Here is a 20,597-nt window from a genome sequence, read left to right as displayed (position 1 = left end):
CAAAAAACAAAACAAACCCTGGGTTTTGCTTCATGAGGACTGACTGATCACTGCTCCCTGGCAGCTCTCATCACTCTAATGAGTGCCTAAGCTTAGCACAAACCCTGTTTCTAGCATCTGAAGCATTTTGAGGTTAGTAAAGGCCAAGATTGATGTTAGGCTCACCTTTGAAGGACTGTTGCTGAAGTAATAGAAAATCTTTTCTCGAGGAGAAAGCATTGTTTCATTTTTATGTGGGGAAATGTAGACAGGATGATTTTGAGACAACTGTATTCGGCGAGGGGAGCCTGTTCTTACAAATGGATAGGGAGAGAGTGGAGGAGCATCCATCTGTTTAAAAAAAAAAAATCAGTAATTCTAAGAAAAAAATTTATAATTATTTTTACTGAAAATGATTATTGAGTGAAGAGGTGTGCTAAACCAGTAGTTTTATGAATGACAGAGTGATGTATTAGCAATAACTTAACCTAAAGAAAAATATTCTAATAGCAAACCTTAAGTGCTTAGTTTGTGCCAGTTATTATTTTAAGCAATTTTTATACATTATGTCATTTCATCCTTACAACAACCCCATATGCTAGGAACTAGTTATATTCCCATTTTATATATGAGGAAATGAGGTACAGAGAAAATTTAATGATTTGCAAGGTTACCACCACTGTTAAGTACTGGAAAATTTGAACCCATGTAGCCTGTCTCTTGTACTACTATACTTTGTAGGGACTCCAAATACAATCTTACTCGTTTAATGCTTAACAACAGTAGAATTTATATTGGTTAGGTAAATTACAGACCTCCTCAGTTTTACTTAATAGAATTATTTGTAAAACTAGCTTATTTATGAGACAGAGTCTTGTTCTGTCACCCAAGCTGGAGTGCAGTGGCACAATCTCAGGTCACTGCAACCACCGCCTCCCATGTTCAAACAATTCTCCTGCCTCAGCCCCCAGAGTAGCTGGGATTACAAGTGTGTGCCACCACGCCCAGCTCATTTTTGTATTTTTAGTAGAGACTGGGTTTTACCACGTTGGCCAGGCTGGTCTTGAACTCCTGACCTCAAGTGATCTGCCCTCCTCGGCCTCCCAAAGTGCTGGGATTACAGGTGTGAGCCACCACACCTGGCCAAAACTAGTTTATATACGGACCAGGTGAATGGTCCATATATAAATCATAAATGATTCCTCAACACTCATGAGTGAAAAAAGTATGAAATAATCCCTGTCATACTTACATTTGCCTGTGAGTACTTCATGGCAAATGTCTTAATCTGTTTGATGTAGATGTTGTTGTAGAACTGAATGAGGTCTCCCCTCTCCTCTTCTTCCATGTCACTGTTGGCACCTGTGAGGCGAGTAGGTGTGGGAGGAGCACTGCTGGGCTGTGGAACTGGCAAGGTGCTGCTTGACCTCATAACTGGACTGGAGTCTCTACTGGCTGCAGCCAGGAGAACAAAGGCTGTCAGTACAAAGGCTGCTAATATTGACTGTTTTAATTTTTTAAAAGTAGGAGAAAGGGAACAGCTACCTGCACTACTTGCTAATAACAGTGAATAGGCACTCTGTTCTTCACACCAAAAAGCAAAGCTCAGCTAGGATATTAACTTTCTCCCTATGCCATAACCATAGCAAGGGCTTTCTGAGTAGTGTCCATTAATAAGTTACACCAAATTTTCTAGGACCTAAGCCCTGTACTAAGTGGTACAAAGCAACAGGCAGGGGATGGTATTTCCATAGCATGGTTCCAATTGACATATCAGACCTTTCTGGAACTCAGGCAAGCAGATTCCTCCCTGAAAGCTCTAATTCTCCTGGAGAAAAATGTTACATAATATGTGCCCCAAAGCTATGTAATGGACAGTTTTGCCAGCTAGAATATGGTTTACTGATCTATAAAACACTTTCATAGTTTCTATAGTTATTTCATTTAGTAATGCTTAGTTACTTCTTCAAGGCCTAAAAAGTAAGAAAAGCTCCTAATTTTGTCTTGTAGTTCACAAAGATCCCACTTACTTCTATCTTTGTTTAGTTCTGTTGGAGAATTCTGATGGCTTCTGCTATCACTGCTGCCAGAATTTCTTCTTTTTCTTTTCCCTTTTATCAAAACACTTCTATACACCTTTAGAGAAACAATGAGAAGGGGACATAAACTAGTATTTGTTGAGCACACCCTTGGTGATAGGACCTTCACATATGTTACTTGGTTTTCACAATAACCTGTATAGCAATAGTTGTCCTCAGAACAGGTTGAGAAACATAACTCAAATTATAACAGATCCAGGATTCAATCAGAGCCCATCTAGCATCACATGCCAAGTACTACCTGCAGTACTACACTGCAGTGACAGCACCCAACCATAATGTCAAGTCATTCTAAGTAAGATACACAGATCTGGCCGATTTGCCTCTCAGAGATGAATGGTAATAAAGGCAAAGTGGGTTTTAAATTTCCATGTGACATTCTGTTGGTTAAACCTACAGTATGTTTACTAAACCAGAATGAAAGGTGACATAGAAACCAAGTAACTTCTTAATTCCTATCTTGTGATTTTTCTGAATTAAGAAGGCAATCAAATATTTAACATTGTTGCCTTTTGAGGAAAAGAGACCTTAATCAACATGTGACATCAAGAATAAAGATTAAAGTAGAAACTTCCCTTAAGTAGAGTCCCAGGTGTTTATCTTGGAAAAAAGGCCACAGAGTCAACTATGGTTAATTTTTTGTATTCATCACAGACTTTAAGCTTTATTTTTCAGCCCATAGAGAAAATGTAGTTACCTGGCTCCGGGCCTGCGGCTGAGTCCTATAACAACGCATAATGTTCTGGAAGGACTTATCTTCTTTTGTGACCTGGCAAACAATAAGAGTGCTCTGAGAGACATGGCAACTACCACCATAATAGTGTGAGGAGCTCTGTGAACCTGCTGCCCAGTAAAAGGGGTGAAAATTATATAAAAGCTATTTAAAGTCTCTGGAAATGGTATTAACGGCATATAGCAAATGAAGATACATCGATTCAAGAATATCTATTAAAATTCAATAAAAACAATAGGAGTCTATAGTATGTGAATCAAGACTTAGAGGCCAGGTGCGGTGGTTCACACCTGTAATCCCAGCACTTTGGGAGGCTGAGGAGGGTGGATCACTTGAAGTCACGAGTTCAAGACCAGCCTGGCCATCATGGTGAAACCCAGTATCTACTAAAAATACAAAAATTAGCCGGGCATGGTGGCACATGCCTGTAATCCCAGCTACTGGGGAGGCTGAGGCAGGAGAATCACTTGAACCTGGGAGATGGAGGTTGCAGTGAGCTGAGATTGAGCCACTGTACAGCCTGGGTGACAGAGCAAGACTCTCTCTCAAAAAAAGACTTGGAGTAGAAAAGTACAGTAAATGAAATGAAAAATTCACTAGAAGCTAGGGAAAACAGATTTGAACTAGCAAAAAAAAAAAAAAAAGGATTAGCAAACATGAAGAAAGAGATTGTGTGATCTGAGGAACAGAGAAAGAATGAAGAAAAACAGCCTCAGAGAAATGTGGCACACCATTAAGGAAATCAACATACGTGTAATGGGAGAATCAGGAGAGGAGAGAAAGAAGCAGAAAAAAATGTTCAAAGAAATACTGAAAACTTCCCAAATTTATTAAATTACATATCCAGGACATTCAGTGACTTCCAGGTAGGATAAACTCATCCGTACCCAGATATATCACAGTAAAAATGTTCAAAGCCAAAGAAAGAAAATATTAAAAGCATCAAGAGAAAAACAACTTTTCAGTTACAGGGAAACCCCAATAAAATAAAATTTGACTTCTAATCAGAAACTACAGAGGCCAGGAGGCAGTGGGATAACATTCAAAGTGATGAAAGAAAAAATATTAAACTAAGAATCCAGTATTAAAAAGTTACTCAAGATTTTTATCTCTGAAATGTCAATATTCAAAATTTTTGCAAGTTATCTTTCAGAAATGAAGGTAAAATAAATATACTCTCAGATAAACAAAAACAGAATTTGGTGCTAGCAAACCCCTTACAAGAAATACTACACAAAATTCTAGAAGCCAAAAGCAAATGCCCCTGGACAACACTACACATGAAGAAAGCCAAGAGCACTGGTAAAGATAATTATGTAATCGTAAATACAGTATAACTGCACATTTCTTCTCCTTTCTTAACTGATTAAAAAATCAATTGTATAAATAATATATATATATAATGTACCCATAACATACAAAAATGTAACATATTTGCCTACAACAGTACAAAGGAGGTAGGCAGGAGCAAAGCCATATTGAGCAAAGGAAATTACTCCAGATGGCAACTCACATACACAGGAATGAATAAGAGAAATAGAAATAGGCTGGGTGTAGTGGCTACTCCTGTAATCCCAACATTTTGTGAGGCTGAGGCAAGTGAACTGCTTGAGGCCAGGAGTTCGACACCAGCCTGGGCAACATGGCAAAACCCCGTCTCTACAAAAAAATACAAAAATCAGCCGGGCATGGTGGCACATGCCTGCACCCTGTAGGCCCAGCTACATGGGAGGCTGAGGCAGAAGGATCATTTGAGCCCGGGAGGCAGAGGTTACAGTGAGTTGAGATTGCACCGCTGCTCTCTAGTCTGGGCGACAGAGCAAGACTCAGTCTTAAAAAAGAAAGAAAGAAAGGAAACCAGAAATTATTAATAAGGTTACTAGAGCAAAAGTTTTAAATACATACTTACACTCCTTTCCTTTCTGCTACTTTAGAAGTCATAAAATTGTATCAATAATTATAACAATGTACTGGTGGAGTTGTACATTTATGGATGTAATATGTGTAACGAAACAGTTAACACTCCTATATCTCACTGGAATTAAGTCAGTATAATCTGAAGCTGATTTTTGATAAGAGATATATGGTAAGCCCTAGGGCAACCACTACACACACACACACACACACACACAAAATGAAACCAAAGTACTGACGTTAAAATGCTACTTTAGAAAATATTGACCTAATGCAAAAGCAAAGCTGCAAAGGCAAAGGGAAAGACATGAAAACAAAAAGTAAAATGGCAGATGTAAATCCAATTATATACATAGTCAAAAGGCAAAAGAAATCCAAATGTATTTTATCTACAGGAGACATTTTAGATTTAAAAAATACAAATACATTCGAAAATGAAAGGATGGAAAGAGGTATACAGACAGCAACCATAAGAAAGCTGGGTGACTATATATCTCACACTATAAATCAGACTTCAGGACAAAAAAAGTTATTAAAAAGGGACATTCCATAATGATAAAAGGATCAAGCCATCAGGAATCTATAACAGTTATACACATACCTAATAACTGAGCACAAAAAATACCTGAAGCGAAAAGTGACAGAAGTGAAGGGAAAAGTAGACAATTCAGCAATAATATTTATAGATTTCAGTACCTCACTTTCAAGAATGGAGAGATGATCTAGGCAGATCAACAAGGAAACAAAACACTTTACTAACAATATAAAACAATTAGACCTAACAGACATCTACAGAACACTCTCCCCAACCTCCACAGAATACACACTGTTCTCAAATGTACTTTGAAATTCATTAGGATAGAGCATATATGCTAGGCTATAAAACAATTCTTAATATATTTAAAAGAACTGGAATAAAATGAAGTGTGTTTTCAATCACAATGAAAGTAGAAATCAGTAACAAATTTGGGAAACTTACAAATACGAAGTTAACAACATATTGCTACATAACCAGTGAGTCAAACAGAAGCCAAAAAAAGAAATCAGAAAATACTTTTGAAATGAAGACACACCATACCAACACTCATGCAGCTAAAGCAGTGCACGGAGGAAAATTTAGAGTTGTTAATGCTTACACTGAAAATGAAGAAGGGCCAAGGGCGGTGGCTCACACCTGTAATCCCAGCACTTTGGGAGGCTGAGGAGGGAGGATTGCTTGAGCTCAGGAGTTCGAGACCAGCCTGGGTAACACAGCAAAATCTCGTATCTACAAAAAATTAGCAGGGCATGGTGGTGCACGGCTGTGGTCCCAGCTACTCAGGAAGCTTAGGGAAGAGGATCACTTAAGCCCTGGAGGAAGGCTGCCGTGAGCACTACACTCCAGCCTAGGCGACAGAGCAAGATGCTGTCTCAAAAAAAAAAAAAAAAAAAAAAAAAAAAGATATTGAAATATTAGAAAGGTATCTTTTAAAAGATACTGATATCTACGTAAAGGATTTGGGGAAAAAAGATATTAAGAGAAATAGTAAATTAATTACCTAAACATCCATCTTAAACCATCTTAAAACAACAGAAAAGGGCAAAAAGTAAGCCTCAAGTAAGCAGAAAGAAGGAAATAAGATTATATACTAATGAATAAAGAACACAAAAATAGATAAATGAAACCAAAAAGCTGGTTTTTAAAAGAAAAAGATCAAGAAAATTGACAAACCTTTAGCTAGACCAAGAACAAAAGGGAGGAGTCTCAAACTACTACAAAAAGCAGGGCACAGGGGCTCATGCCTGCAATCCCAGCACTTTGGGAGGCCAAGGTGGATGGATCGCTTGAGGCCAAGAGTTTGAGACCAGCCTGGGCAACATGGGGAAATTCCATCTCTACTAAAAATACAAAAACTAGCTGGGCGAGGTGGCACAGGCCTGTAGTCCCAACTACTCAGGAGGCTGAGGCACAAGAATCACTGGAAACCAGGAGGCTAAGGTTTCAGTAAGCCAAGATCATGCCCCTGTATTCCAGCCTGGACAACAGAGTGAGACTGTCTCAAAAAACAAAACAAAACGAAAACTACAATCATAAAAGGAAAAGGACATTACTACTGACCTTAAAGAATAAAAAAGAACAGAAGGAAATATTATAATTATTTGCCAACAATTTAGCCCAGAGGAAACAGACAAATTCTTAGAAAGACATACACTACCACAACTGATTCTAGAAGAAACAGATGATCTGAATAGACCTATAACAAATAAGAGACGGAATTATTCACCAATAAACTTCCCACAAGGAAAATCTCTGGTCTCAACAGCTTCGCTGCTGAATTCTACCAAACTTTAAAACATTAATACCAAGAAGCTCATATCCATGGGTCTTTCAGGCAGCTGTAAATTAAAAAAAAAGGCAAAGGAAAAAATATAATACCTAAATATAGAAGAGAACACTTCCTACTCAATTCTATGAGACCATTATTACCCTGATAATAAAACCAGACAAAGCCACAACAAGAAAACTACAGACCAATGCCTCTTATGCATAAGGATAAAATTCCTTAGCAATCACTGCTGCATGTGGAAACTTGAAAAAATAAATATTTTTTTTAACTGAAAACAAATTCCTCAACAAACTGTTGGCAAACCAAACCTAGCAACATATAAAAAGAATTATAGGCTGGGCACCGTGGCTCACGCCTATAATCCCAGCACTTTGGGAGGCCGAGGCAGGTGGATCACCTGAGGTTGGGAGTTTGAGACCAGCCTGACCAATATGGAGAAACCCCGTCCCTACTGAAAATACAAAATTAGCCAGGGGTGGTGGCACATGCCTGTAATCCCAGCTACTTGGGAGGCTGAGGCAGGAGAATTGCTTGAACCTGGGAGGCGGAGGTTGCGGTGAGCCAAGATCTCGCCACTGCACTCCAGCCTGGGCAACAAGAGCGAAATTCCATCTCAAAATAAATAAATAAATAAATAAATAAATAAAAGAATTACAGCAGCCGGGTGCAGTGGCTCACGCCTATAATCCCAACACATTGGGAGGCTGAGGCATGAGGACTGCTTGAGCTTAGGAGTTCGAGACCAGCCTGTGCAACAAGGTAGACCCTGTCTACAAAAAATTTAAAAAATTAGCCAGGCATGGCAGCATGTACCTGTAGTCCCAGCTACTCAGGAGATGAAGGTGGGAGGACTGCTTGTAGTGAGCTATGATCTCACCACTGCACTCTAGCCTGGGTAACAGAGCGAGACACTGTCTCAAAAAAAGAAAAAAATAAGACTTACACACCATGACTGAGAGGGATTTACACCAGAAATGCAAGGCTGGTTTAACATAGGAAGATTAATCAGTGTAATATACTATATTAATAGAATAAAAAAAATAAGCACACGATCATCTCAATGGACACACAAGCATTTGACAAAATCTAATGCCCTTTCATGATAAAAAAAACACTCAATGAACTAAGAAAAGAAGGGAACTTCCTCAACCTGATAAAGGGCATCTATGAAAAAAACCATAACTACTATCATACTTTAATAGTGAAAAACTAGATGCTTTCCACCTAAGATCAAGACAAGGATTTCTGCTTTCGACAGTTCTGTTCAACTATACTGGAAGTTCTAGCAAGATAATTAGGAAAGAAAAAGAAATAAAAGGCATCCAGTTTGGACAAGAAGTAAAATTATAAGCAGATTACATGATTTCCTACATAGTAATCCTAAGGAATCTACTAGAAAACTATTAGAACTAATAACTTCTGCAAAGTTGCTGGATACTAGATCAATATACAAAAGTGTTTTTCTATACACTTGCAATGAACACGTTAACAATGAAACAACTACACTTGGAATAGCATCAACAAGAATAGGAATAAATTTAACAAAAGAATTGCAAACATACTCTGAAAAGTACAAAGCATTGTTGAAAAAAAAACAGAAGATCTAAATAAATGGAAAAACATCCTATGTTCATGGATCAGAAGATATAAAATTGTTAAGATGGCAATACTCCCCAAATGGATCTACAGATTCAGTGCAACCCTATCAGAATCCTAGCTTATTCCTTTGTGAAACTGATAATTTGATTCTAAAATTCATTTTTCAAGGGACTTCGAAAATAATCTTGAAAAGAAAAAAAAAGTAGGAGCACTCATATTTCCCAATTTCAAAACTTATAAGAAAGCAACTCTCTAATCTAGAGAATATGGTATTGCATAAGGATAGGCATATAGTCCAGTGGAATAGAATTTAGAGTTCAGAAATAAACCCAAATGTTGTCAACGGTCAATTGATTTTAAAGGAGGGTACCAAGGCCATTCAGTGAGGAAAAAAATCTTCTTTTCAACAATGGTGCTGAGACAACTGCACAACCACATAATCAGAATGGAAATGGACTGCTACCTCATACCATACACAAAAATTACTCAAAATTGATCAAAGACCTAACTATGAGATAAAACTATAAAAATCAAAAGACCTTGGGTTTGGTAATGGATTCTTAGGACACCCAAAGTGCAAGTAACAAACCAAAAAACAGGTAACTGGACTTCATCAAAATTAAAAACTTTTATGCTTCAAATGACACTATCGAGTAAGTGAAAAGATACACCGAATGGGAGAAAATATTTGCAAATCATACATCTGAGAAGGTAGTTGTATCCAAAATAAAGAATTCCAACAACTCAATAATAACATAATTTTAAAATGGGCAAAGGATTTAAAGATATTTCTCCAAATAAGATATGCAAATGGCCAGTAAGCACATGAAAAGATGCTTGACATCCTTAGTTATCAGGCAAATGAAAATCAAAACCACAATGATATATCACCCAATACCCGCTAAGATGGCTATAATAAAAATAATAAGTTGGCAAGGATGTGGAGAAACTGGAACTCTTGTGCATTACTGGTAGCAATGTCAAATGGTGCAGCTTCTGTGGAAAATGGTACGGTGGTTCTTCAAAAAAGTTAAACATAGTATCACCATATGACCCTGCAGTTCCACTCCTAGGAATAAACTCAAAAGGACTGAAAATGGGCACTCAAACAGGTACATGATATACCTGTTCACAACAGTGCTATTCACTATAGCCAACAGTTGGAAACAGCCCAAATATCCATCAGTGTATGAGTGGAGAAAAAAATTGTGCCTATCCATACAATGGAATATCATTCAGTCATAAAAAGGAATGAAGTACTGATACATGCTGCAACATGGGTAAACCTGGAAAATATTATCCTAAGTAAAAGGAGCCATACACAAGAGGTCACATATTGTACCATTTCTATAAACGATTAAGAACAGATAAATCCATACAGCCAGAATGCCAACTGCTGGTTGCCAGGTGCTGTGGGAGGTAGAATGGGGAGAAACTACTTAATAGGAAAGGAGTTTTACTTTGCAGGTACGGAAATGTTCTGGAACTAGACAGAGGTGGTGAGTATACAACCATTTATTACACTTAGTACTGTAAATGTGCTAAATGCTCCTAAATTGTTCAACTTAAAATAGTTAATTTGGCTGGGCCCAGTGGCTCATGCCTGTAATCCCAGCACTTTGGGAGGCCGAGGTGGGCAGATCACCTGAGGTCAGGAGTTTGAGACCTGCCTGGCCAACATGGTCAAACCCCATCTCTACTAAAAATGCAAAAATTAGCCAGGCATGGTGGCACATGGCTGTAATCCCAGCTACTCGGGAGGCTACGACAGGAGAATCGCTTGAACCTGGGAGGCAGAGGTTGCAGTGAGCTGAGATGCACCACTGCACTCCAGCCTGGGTGACAAGAATGAAACAACATCTCAAAAAAAAAAAGAAAAACCCAATTAATTTTATGTTATGTGAATTTCTCCTCAATAAGTTATTTAAACAAAGTAAGATAGTAAGTGTTAATGAGATAGTGGAGAAACTAAAATCTTTATTATACTGCTGTGTAAGTGTAAAATGGTACAGTACTTTGGAAAACAATCTAGCAATTCCCTAAATAGTTAAAACACAGTTAATGTATGACCCAGCAGCCCATTCCTAGGTATATACCCTAGAGAAATGAAAATACATGTCTATACAAAAACCCAAACACAAATGCTAATAGTGGTATTATGCATATATGCCAAAAGTAGAAACAACTAAAATATACATTAGCTAATAAATGGATAAAAATACTCTCATATAACTATACAATGGAATATTATGTTCTAAAATTGTGGTGAGTATTGCACATATCTGTGAATATACTAAGACCCATTTAGTTGTGCATTTTAAATAGGTGAATTATAGAGCATGTAAACTGTATCTCAAGACAGTGGTTAAAAAATGTTCTCAGTAATGAAGACCTATCTTTGCCTTTACAATTCCAAATGGTACTCACCTTTGCCATCACATAAATGGCACACATTAATAACTGGTCCAGATGTCTGTCCATCATAAGTTCAGGACACTGAATTATGGAGAATTCAAAGCAGGTCCAGATTTTTTTCCTCAATTCATCTGAAATATCTAGTTTGGCACAGAGATCCCGAAGGCGGACAGCTGCTAAATGGTATACCTAGGAGATAAAAACATTTCAAACTTTGTTTAACACTTGTATTTCCCAAGCTCATGCTCTGATAAGGTATGTGAAAAATTACCTTTCTAAAGAAAAGCGATAAAGAGCTGGTCTTCCTGGGTCTATTACTACTGCTGGTTACAGACTGGCCTTGCTTCTGCTGTTGGCCACCTGGGGAAATCTGTTGAATGGCCACTTGACCAGGGACTTGCAAAGTTGTTCCTGTCACCTGTTGAGAGCTCAGACTTCCAGCCAGGGCCTGAGCACTGAGGGGCTGGATGGAGCCTGTCACAGCTTGTGCCTGCCCCCCAACATTGACTTGGACAGGGAAGAATGTTATCCCTCCATTTTCATTGGCAATACCTAGTGACAGAGAAAAAAAGCATGAAGAAAATGTTGATAATAAGAGGTTCTCCGGGCAGAGGTTTACAATTTCTGCTCTCCCAAACCCTCTCTCCCCATCACTCCTCTGTCCCCTATGTCACTCTAGCCAAACCTCGGGTAACTTTTCAATACATGCCACAGAGAAGGAACTCAATATCCAACTCTGCCTTCCTTACCTTGCACAGGAATGGTTACCGTTTGCCCATTGTTGGCTGTGACAGTGGCGGTTGCCATGGTGACCAAAGTCTGTCCAGGAACTGGTGTGACAGAAACAGTCTCCCCAGATACATTCTGCACAGGGACAGCATTGACTAGGGGCTGTGGGGGCATGCGCCCAGGCGTCCCTCCATCAGAGGGGCTATCATTCTCAACAAATAGCCGCCTTCTGGTAGTGCTGGCTGGTGGGGAGCTGTACCTATCGTATAATGTGGTTGGAGATGTTATGCCTAGGGTCAAAACAAATCAAACAAAGCATTTAACTCAAGGAGACTCAGATCTGACTTCCGTCCAAGCTCTTATGTTAAAAAATAACTACAGTGTTTGAAATACTTCATAATTCAAAAAGCAAACAAGAATTACAGAAGTCATATCTTACCTATATTCATTAGTGAACTTTCATTCGTGTTCAGTGAACACTACTGAGAGCAAAATTTTAAAACGGAATTTTTTGTCTTGCAGTGTTCCTTTCTCCACGCCCCCTTTCCCAAATCAGACCTGACTCTGTCTTCCACTACTAAAGAACCTTCATGATTTAGGGGCAATTTAAGGAATTACCCTATTTTTCTATATTATATTTTTCTATAATATTTTCTATCATATCCACTTTCTACCTACCACTCATGTAAGATGTGATTTTACTACAGAGCCACTACTTGATAAGGGGACCTGATTGGTAGTATGTCATCTAGGAGCATTCCGCCACCGGTTTTATCAATTTTGATCTCTGTCTTTTTCCACATATAAAAAATTATTAAAACTCAATAATGTTCTTAAGCAAGGTGGACATGCATGATTTGGATTCAGTTAAGCATAATTTATTTTTTTAAAACAGTTTATATACCATAAATTTCATCTACTTAAATTATACAATTCAATGGTTTGGGGCAAATTGTTACTATTTTTTTTATTTTTTGAGACAGAGTCTTACTCTATCACCCAGGCTGGAGTGCAGTAGCCTGATCTCGGCTCACTACAACCTCTGCCTCCTGGGTTTAAGTGATTCTTGTGCCTCAGCCTCCCAAGTAACTGGGATTAGAGGCATATGCCACAAGGCATGGCTAATTTTTGTATTTTTAGTAGAGATGAGGTCTCACCATGTTGGCCAGGCTGGTCTCGAACTCCTGACCTCAGGTGATCCACCCGCCTTGGCCTCCCAAAATGCTGGTATTACAGGCTAGTTTTTTAAAATTGTGGTTATATATATAACATAAAATTTACCATTCAACCATTTTTAAGTGTATGATTCAGTGGTACACAACCCATTATGGCTTAGTCTATTTTTAAGTATTCACACCAATGTCTGAATTTTTGAGAAGCATTTCTTCCTTCTTCTGTGTCCACTTCTAAGAGCTGTGCATCAGAGTGTTTTTAAAATTTAAAATATACATAGAAAGTTTGTAAGAAGTACTGATAGGAGTAAATCCTAACAAACTGTGGCTTAACATTTCTATTTCCAGATGATACAAAAGTAAATAAACTTACTAGATTTGTATTTGGTACAAAGCTGCAGAATCAGAAAGAATAGATTATGATCATTTTTTCTTATAAAATATCAAGAGATCTCAGGAAAACTGAGAAGTGGTAAGTACAAAGAAAATGAAGTTTAAAGTCAAGTCTTCCTAATCTGTAGATTAGGGAACGGAAAATTCTACAAAAATAGACTAAGAAAGACCAGCTGTCAGATCTTTCAAAAATGAGGACTTTTCATAAGGATCATCCATGTGTATTAAGTATACACTTAGAGTGATTTTTTTGGGGGGGTTGGGGGTAGAGATGGTATCTTGCTATGTTGCCCAGGATGGTCTTGAACTCCGGGGCTCAAGTGATCCTCCCCACTAGGTCTCCCACAGTGCTGGGATTACAGGCATGAGCCACCATGCCCAGCCTAGAGTGAATCCTGACTTTAAAACTGGTATTCCTTCTATAGCCAGTTCTTATCAATTACATTATAAAACTGATCTAGAAATAAGAATATTCTTTTAATTGGATCCAAGGATTTAGAACTCTCTGGATTTACTGAATTGCTCTTTAAAAAAGTAGTTCTATCTCACATATGTAAACTAAAACCTTTCACCTTGCAGATCTTCTAAGCAGCTGCCTAAAAAATACAAACCAGATAGATAGCAAAACTGCCCTTTTCTGTATTTCTTGGGCCAGCACTAATGTCACATTAACTAGGGTAGCACAGCTCAACAAAGTGGAACATACTCAGTTGTCTTAACTCACTGGCTTGTCTATACCTAACTGGATCATGCAGCTCTATCTTTAAGAAGGCTTTTCTATTTCTGATTTTAAAAGTAATATGTATTTGCCTTAAAAATTTTACAGAAATCACCAGGAATTCTATCACCCAACAATGATCTTAACAGTTTGGTTTTTCCATTTCCACTATTTTGTATGCTCATAAATAAACATACACTTTAAAAATAGGGATCATATTAAATATACAGCAGTCAGCCGGGCACGGTGCCTCATGCCTGTAATTCCAGCACTTTGGGAGAACGAGGTAGGCGGATCACTTGAGGTCAGGAGTTCAAGGCCAGCCTGGCCAATATGGCAAAACCCCTTCTCTACTAAAAATACAAAAATTAGCTAGGCGTGGTGGCGCATGCCTGTAGTCCCAGCTACTCAGGAGGCTGAGGCATGAGAATCGCTTGAACCCGGCAGGCAGAGGTTGCAGTGAGCTGAGATTGGGCCACTGCACTCCAGCTTGAGTGACAGAGCAAGACTCTGTCTCAATAAATAAATAAATAAATAAAGCAGTCTATCCTTTTTAAAAGATACCTGTTATATCATGCATTTTCCTGTGTTCTTAGTCTTTAAAGGCCCTTCTTTTAAGTGATCCATGTGGTACAAAAATGCATAGAATATTTTCTTCTATGTATACCCTATTAACTTCACTTGTAGGGTTAGATGAAATTTAAATTTCCAGATAGTAAGCCCCAAAATATTCTCCTAGTATTTTAAACTTACTCCTTCCAAGTCCTCCAGTATCAGCACGAACTTCAGTCACCCTTCTGGGAGTCAAAGGGGAGCCAGCAATGCAAATTTCATCTGCCCTTTCCAGGTTCTGAGGTGGCATGACCTATGAAGAATTGGTTACACAGAATGCCAGTATCCAAAAAAGCACTTTAATTACAAATACAATAGTAATCTAAGGCAGAAAAAGTATCTTAACAATTATTCCATCTAAATAAAATCAGCTGTCTTTCCCATTTTAATAATAAAGTTAAAAAAAAAACTTTTGGCAGTCAAAAAATTCAAAACCTTGTAATTGGATACTAAATATGAGTCAAACTTCATTACTGGTTTGGAGAGTTTGAATATCAACCACTCTAAAGCAGGAGTCCCCAACCCCTGGGCCATGGACCCTGTTAGGAACTGGGCAACATAGCAGGAGGTGAGCAGCAGGCAAGTGAGCATGCGAGCAAAGCTTCATCTGTATTTAAAGCTGCTCCCCATCGCTCACATTGCCGCCTGTGCTGGCCTCCTGTCAGATTAGTGGTGGCATTAGATTCTCACAGGAGTGTGAACCCTATTGTGAACTGCACACATAAGGGATCTAGGTTGCATGCTCCTTATGAGAATCTAATGCCTGCTGATCTGTCACTGTCTCCCACCGCCCCCAGATGGGACCATCTAGTTGCAGGAAAACAAGCTCAGGGCTCCCACTGACTCTACATTTTGGTGAGTTGTATAATTATTTCATTATATATTACCACGTAATAATAATAGAAATAAAGTGTGCAATAAATGTAAGGCAGTTGAATCATCCCAAAATCTCTCCAACCCCCAACCCTGTCCATGGAAAAATTGTCTTCCATGAAACTGGTCCTTGGTGCCAAAAAGGTTGGACCACTGCTCTATGGGAAAGAAACTTGGTAAGGAAATCAAGAAAGAACACTGAATTTTTACTCTGTCACCAAAATCTTAGGACAACCACAAATTATCTGACTCGTTTCCTCTTTGACATGGGGTGAAATGTGACAGGTCACCTACCTTACTTAAGGGTGTATGTCTGCTGCCTAAACCCTGAAGGCTAGGCAGTGAGCCAAGGCCATGGTGCCCAGCCAAGGAACAGGTGTCCCTGAGAACCCCAACATCCCAGAGAAGATCTGAGAAACTACCAAGGAAAACAGTCCCATCGTGCACACACATAGTAGGCAAAGAGCCAGAAAATTAGCTTAAAAGCAGCTTAGCGATGGGAGGTGGCGAGGATCTCTAGAGCTGTCCTGCTGCTACCTAGGAGTACCCTGTATATAAGTCTTTTATTTTTCCCCACCACCTCTGCCTCCTCCATATGTAAGTCTTAATAAACGTTATCTACTTACCAAGCTGGACTTGTCTGAGTCATTCTTTGGTCTCTTGGCACCTTCCCAATTTGTGGGTAGAGAGGGACGTTACAGTCCAAGATTTTTCTCATAACAAGGTGTAATTATAACATATTAAACCTAATTGCCACCCTCCCATCCCCAAAAGGATTATTAATAGATTAGATATTGATGTATTTTTCTCATAAAAAGATGTTATTTTCACAAACCTCTTCACATGTAGGAACTCTGTTTTCATTGTCTCTAATTTTTTCCCAGAGTGGAGACTCTGGTTTCCATGCCAAATGATCTAAGATCTGTTCTTCAATCTGATTAAGGTGTTTTACCACCTCTCTACAAAGGCCATCTTCTGCTCTAATGAATACTTCTATCACCTGAAATAAAAAATGTCTTGGTTCACTGAATAATTATTAAATATTTTTAAATATTTAGACAAGAAATTAGTCAAAATTACAAGTTGAAGTATTATTTTGAAACAGCCGCTCTTCCTTTTACTGTCTTTGTAAATAATTATAGTTCAAACTATGAATTATATAAAATGGTTTACATTGTGATGTATTTCAAAATTTTTTAATGAAAATACATGTTTTGTACATTGAGGTTGAAAAACATTACTCTTAAAATTTCATATAAAAATCTCTAAACATTTAATCTATGCCACTATAAAAATTAGTTTTGACTATCTTATGAGAGTTAAGATAAACTCATATGCTAAGTCAGTATCAAGAAATAGCTACCAGCCTGTAATCCCAGCACTCTGGGGGGCCGTGGCGGGCAGATCACGAGGTCAGGAGATCGAGACCATCCTGGCTAACACGGTGAAACCCCGTCTCTACTAAAAATACAAAAAATTAGCCGGGTGTGGTGGCGGCCGCCTGTAGTCCCAGCTACTCGGCAGGCTGAGGCAGGAGAATGGCGTGAACCCAGGAGGTGGAGCTTGCTGTGAGCTGAGATGGCGCCACTGCACTCCAGCCTGGGCGACAGAGCAAGACTCCATCTCAAAAAAAAAAAAGAACTAGCTACCAAATCAATGCTTTAACTCTATGCCTCTCTGTAACACATGAAAGAGAACTTTTTATTTTTTTTCTGACATTTTCAATGGTATTTAATTTTCATAAAATAAAAAAAGGCTGCTATACAAGATTAGCTAGTGACATGTGTGCTACTTTTTTTAAGCCTTCTCAGCTCATAAAAATCACAGTATTCTAAAAACTTTTATTAGATAGAGAGGAATCAAAGCTTTTACCCAAAATAGATCTTTCATACAATATTAAAAGAATTTACATAGGTCTTAAGATTCTATTTCTTTTCTACTCCACAAATAGAGATTAACTATGTAAATAAAAACAGAATAAATGTTCTTAGATGTTAACTTGAACTAAATGACTAACAACAGGAAGTTGGTCTCATCTACAATATCCCCATTAGTATCATATTTTTAAAAATACCTTATAAAAATGATAAAGAGGCACATCAAATATTTCAGTAATAAATGGAAAATTCCCAGGAGGCTTATAAGAAAAAGTGACGACCTCAAGGCAGCAGGCCAAGAGAGATCTGTGGAACGCATCTTGTTCCAGAATACCCTATAAAATAAAGTTATTAGCATTAGAAACATTTACTTAGTCTAAAAAGTCATTTCATACCCAGTGAACTTAAGTGAAAATACCAAAGAAAGTCTCATTTTCTGAGTGAGTGCAAAGTGTGTCCTTATTTTCTTACAAAACCTTTCTTAATTATATAAATAAAGCCCATTTTTTAGTAGAGGAAATATATAAAAGGAATGTATGAGAATTTTAAAACCTTACCTATTATAAAATGTATCTTAAAAGAGATTACATCTCTAACCAAAATACACACACACACTGATGCTTAGAAGAACAATGACAGGGAAAGATGTTTCAAAACAGTATTTACAGTAAGTGCTATAAAAAACTGAAAGGGGGACCGGGCGCAGTGGCTCACGCCTGTAATCCCAGCACTTTGGGAGGCCAAGGTGGGCAGATCACCTGACGTCAGGAGTTTGAGACCAGCCTGACCAACATGGTGAAACCCCATCTCTACTAAAAATAGAAAATTAGCCAGGTGTGGTGGCACACACCTGTAGTCCCAGCTACTCAGAGGCTGAGGCAGGAGAAGCAATTGAACCCAGGAGGTAGAGGTTGCAGTAAGCCGACGTTGCACCACTGCACTCCAGCCTGAGCAACAAGAGCGAAACTCTGGCTCAAAAAAAAAAAAAAAAAAAAAAAAGGAAAAAAAAATATTGAAAGGGGCCAGGCAGGTGGCTCATACCTGTAATTCCAGCACTTTGGAAGGCCGAAGCAGGCAGATCACCTGAGGTCCAGAGTTTGAGACCAGCCCAGGCAACACTGTTCAAGAATCACTTGAATCTGGGAGGCAGAGGTTGCAGTGAGCCGAGATTGCACCACTGCACTCTAGCCTGGGCAAGAGAGTGAGACTCTGTCTCAACAACAAACCCAAAAAAACAGAAAGGCAGGCAGGCAGGTGACTGGCTAGATGACCATGTACCAAAAGTGAATATGTTTATCATAGGATGACATTAATCATAGATGATTTTTATTTTGTTCTTTTTGCTTATAATTTTCCAACATTGTCAATAATTATTATTTTTTAATTAAAAGCTACTGAAGCACCAAAGGCACAGGCAACAGGCCAGGTGCGGTGGCTCACGCCTGTAATCCTAGCACTTTGGGAGGCCAAGGCATGCGGACCACCTGACGTCTGGAGTTCAAGACCAGCCTGGCCAACATGGCAAAACCCCATCTCTACGAAAAATACAAAAATGAGCTGGGCATGGTGGCACATGCCTATAATCCCAGCTATTTGGGAGACTGAGGCAGGAGAATTGCTTGAACCCAGGAGGCGGAGGTTGCATTGAGCCGAGATCGTGCCACTACACTCCAGCCTTGGCGACAGCGCAAGACTCCATCTCAAATAGGTAAATACATACATACATACATACATAAAACAAAAGCACAGGCAACTAGTGAAAAAATATATTGGATTTCATCAAAATTAAAAACTTTTGTGTATGAAAGGAGACTATATATAAAGTAAAAAAAACAACCCACAGAATAGGGCAGGAAGGAAATTATGTTTCATTGCGCTGATCAATACATTGGTTATTTTACTCACAGATAAATCCATGTCTCCTAGTCTTTTTTGTTCCTGCTCAATAACAGATTCTAATACTTTATAGTAAAGCATCTCCGCAAAACGAAAATGTTTGCTGGCAATTTCTGTAGAAATAATAAAAAAAAAAACCCCACAAAAATGGCACACAAAGAAAATAAAGGCCCATTCCTCCTCCTTTACTCACAAAATAAAATTCAAAACCAACCCAATACTTTAGATATGCACACTTCTTATGATTGGTGTTTTAATTATCCCTAAGATACCTTAATTTTCTTCATGGTAACAGTCACATTTTTCTAAAATTATTAAATGAAATTTGCACATAAGGAACTGTAATATCATTTAAGACTAACACCCTTTTTTTTCCTCTATGTTTGAACAAAACAGACCAATGCTAAGAGGTATGTAATTGGCTTACTAGTCCACACCTACTTAGTTCCAATTCCTGACAGCAAACAATTCCTAGGCCAGGTTTGGGCCCATAACAGTGATATCTCCTGTCCTTATTCTCAATATGTTGAAGAATCACTACACTTCTATTTAATTTCCAGTTTACAAAAAAAACCTAAAGATTTGCAGATAAAAAAGCATCAGAAGTCCAATATAATAAAGATACCATTCTAAAATTTCTATCTTACTGAGAAGGGCTCAGAAATCAGTTGGTTGACCAGAAAAATTGGACAGCCATATCCTAGCCTTCAGTCTAAAGTCATAAATCTTTTCCTCATCTTTCTTAGTTAGTAAGAAATGACTCCATTTAGTTAAACTTCAAACATAAAAGCAGAATAACAATGTTAAACCTTACCTTTAGCACAATTACTGAAATCCTCGTCTGGCTGGAAATGCTGAGAATATATTTCAAACATTTCTTTCAGTCTGTTAGCAATAGCCTGGGTTGGATCTCTGGAACATGTCCTAAAAAAGGTAATGAGAAATAACATAATTTAAAGGTCTTGTCAAGTCACAAGGGGATAAAATGTTTCTATAATTTCACTAACATGTAAATATAAAACACTCTGAACAGAAACTATACACTTCCCAAATTAATCCAAGAGATCCCATACTTCCTTTTCAAAGGTGGTGGTATTACCAGTTTGAATGAAAAAAAAAAAAACTTTTCTTGTGGGAGCTACACCTTTTATTTTATATATATATATTTTTTTTGAGACAGAGTCTCGCTCTTTCACCCAGGATGGAATGCAGTGATGCAGTCTTGGCTCACTGCAACCTCCACCTCCCAGGTTCAAGTGAT

General features: G+C 38.3%; 1 protein-coding gene across 7 annotated transcripts in view; it reads right to left on the bottom strand.

Annotated features, from left to right (window-relative positions):
• Positions 1-20,597, bottom strand: part of RBL2 (RB transcriptional corepressor like 2) — a 57,178-nt gene that overhangs the window by 9,648 nt on the left and 26,933 nt on the right. For 5 of the 7 annotated variants that reach the window (NM_005611.4, NM_001323608.2, NM_001323611.1 and 2 more), the window contains 12 exons: positions 20,151-20,260; positions 19,346-19,449; positions 17,638-17,775; positions 16,399-16,563; positions 14,832-14,943; positions 11,816-12,085; positions 11,338-11,618; positions 11,079-11,255; positions 2,776-2,847; positions 2,010-2,115; positions 1,232-1,434; positions 166-330 (listed from right to left, as the gene is read on the bottom strand). In NM_005611.4, the coding sequence (NP_005602.3) occupies positions 166-330; positions 1,232-1,434; positions 2,010-2,115; positions 2,776-2,847; positions 11,079-11,255; positions 11,338-11,618; positions 11,816-12,085; positions 14,832-14,943; positions 16,399-16,563; positions 17,638-17,775; positions 19,346-19,449; positions 20,151-20,260 (1,903 nt within the window). The remainder of the gene's footprint in view (positions 1-165; positions 331-1,231; positions 1,435-2,009; positions 2,116-2,775; positions 2,848-11,078; positions 11,256-11,337; positions 11,619-11,815; positions 12,086-14,831; positions 14,944-16,398; positions 16,564-17,637; positions 17,776-19,345; positions 19,450-20,150; positions 20,261-20,597) is intronic. The other 2 variants (NM_001323610.2, NM_001323609.2) reach the window with 2 other exon arrangements.

The sequence above is a fragment of the Homo sapiens genome, chromosome 16 (genome assembly GCF_000001405.40).
Source record: "Homo sapiens chromosome 16, GRCh38.p14 Primary Assembly".
NCBI lineage: Eukaryota > Metazoa > Chordata > Mammalia > Primates > Hominidae > Homo > Homo sapiens.
Note: the sequence above shows the minus strand (reverse complement) of the source record. Positions and strands in the feature narration are given on the sequence as shown.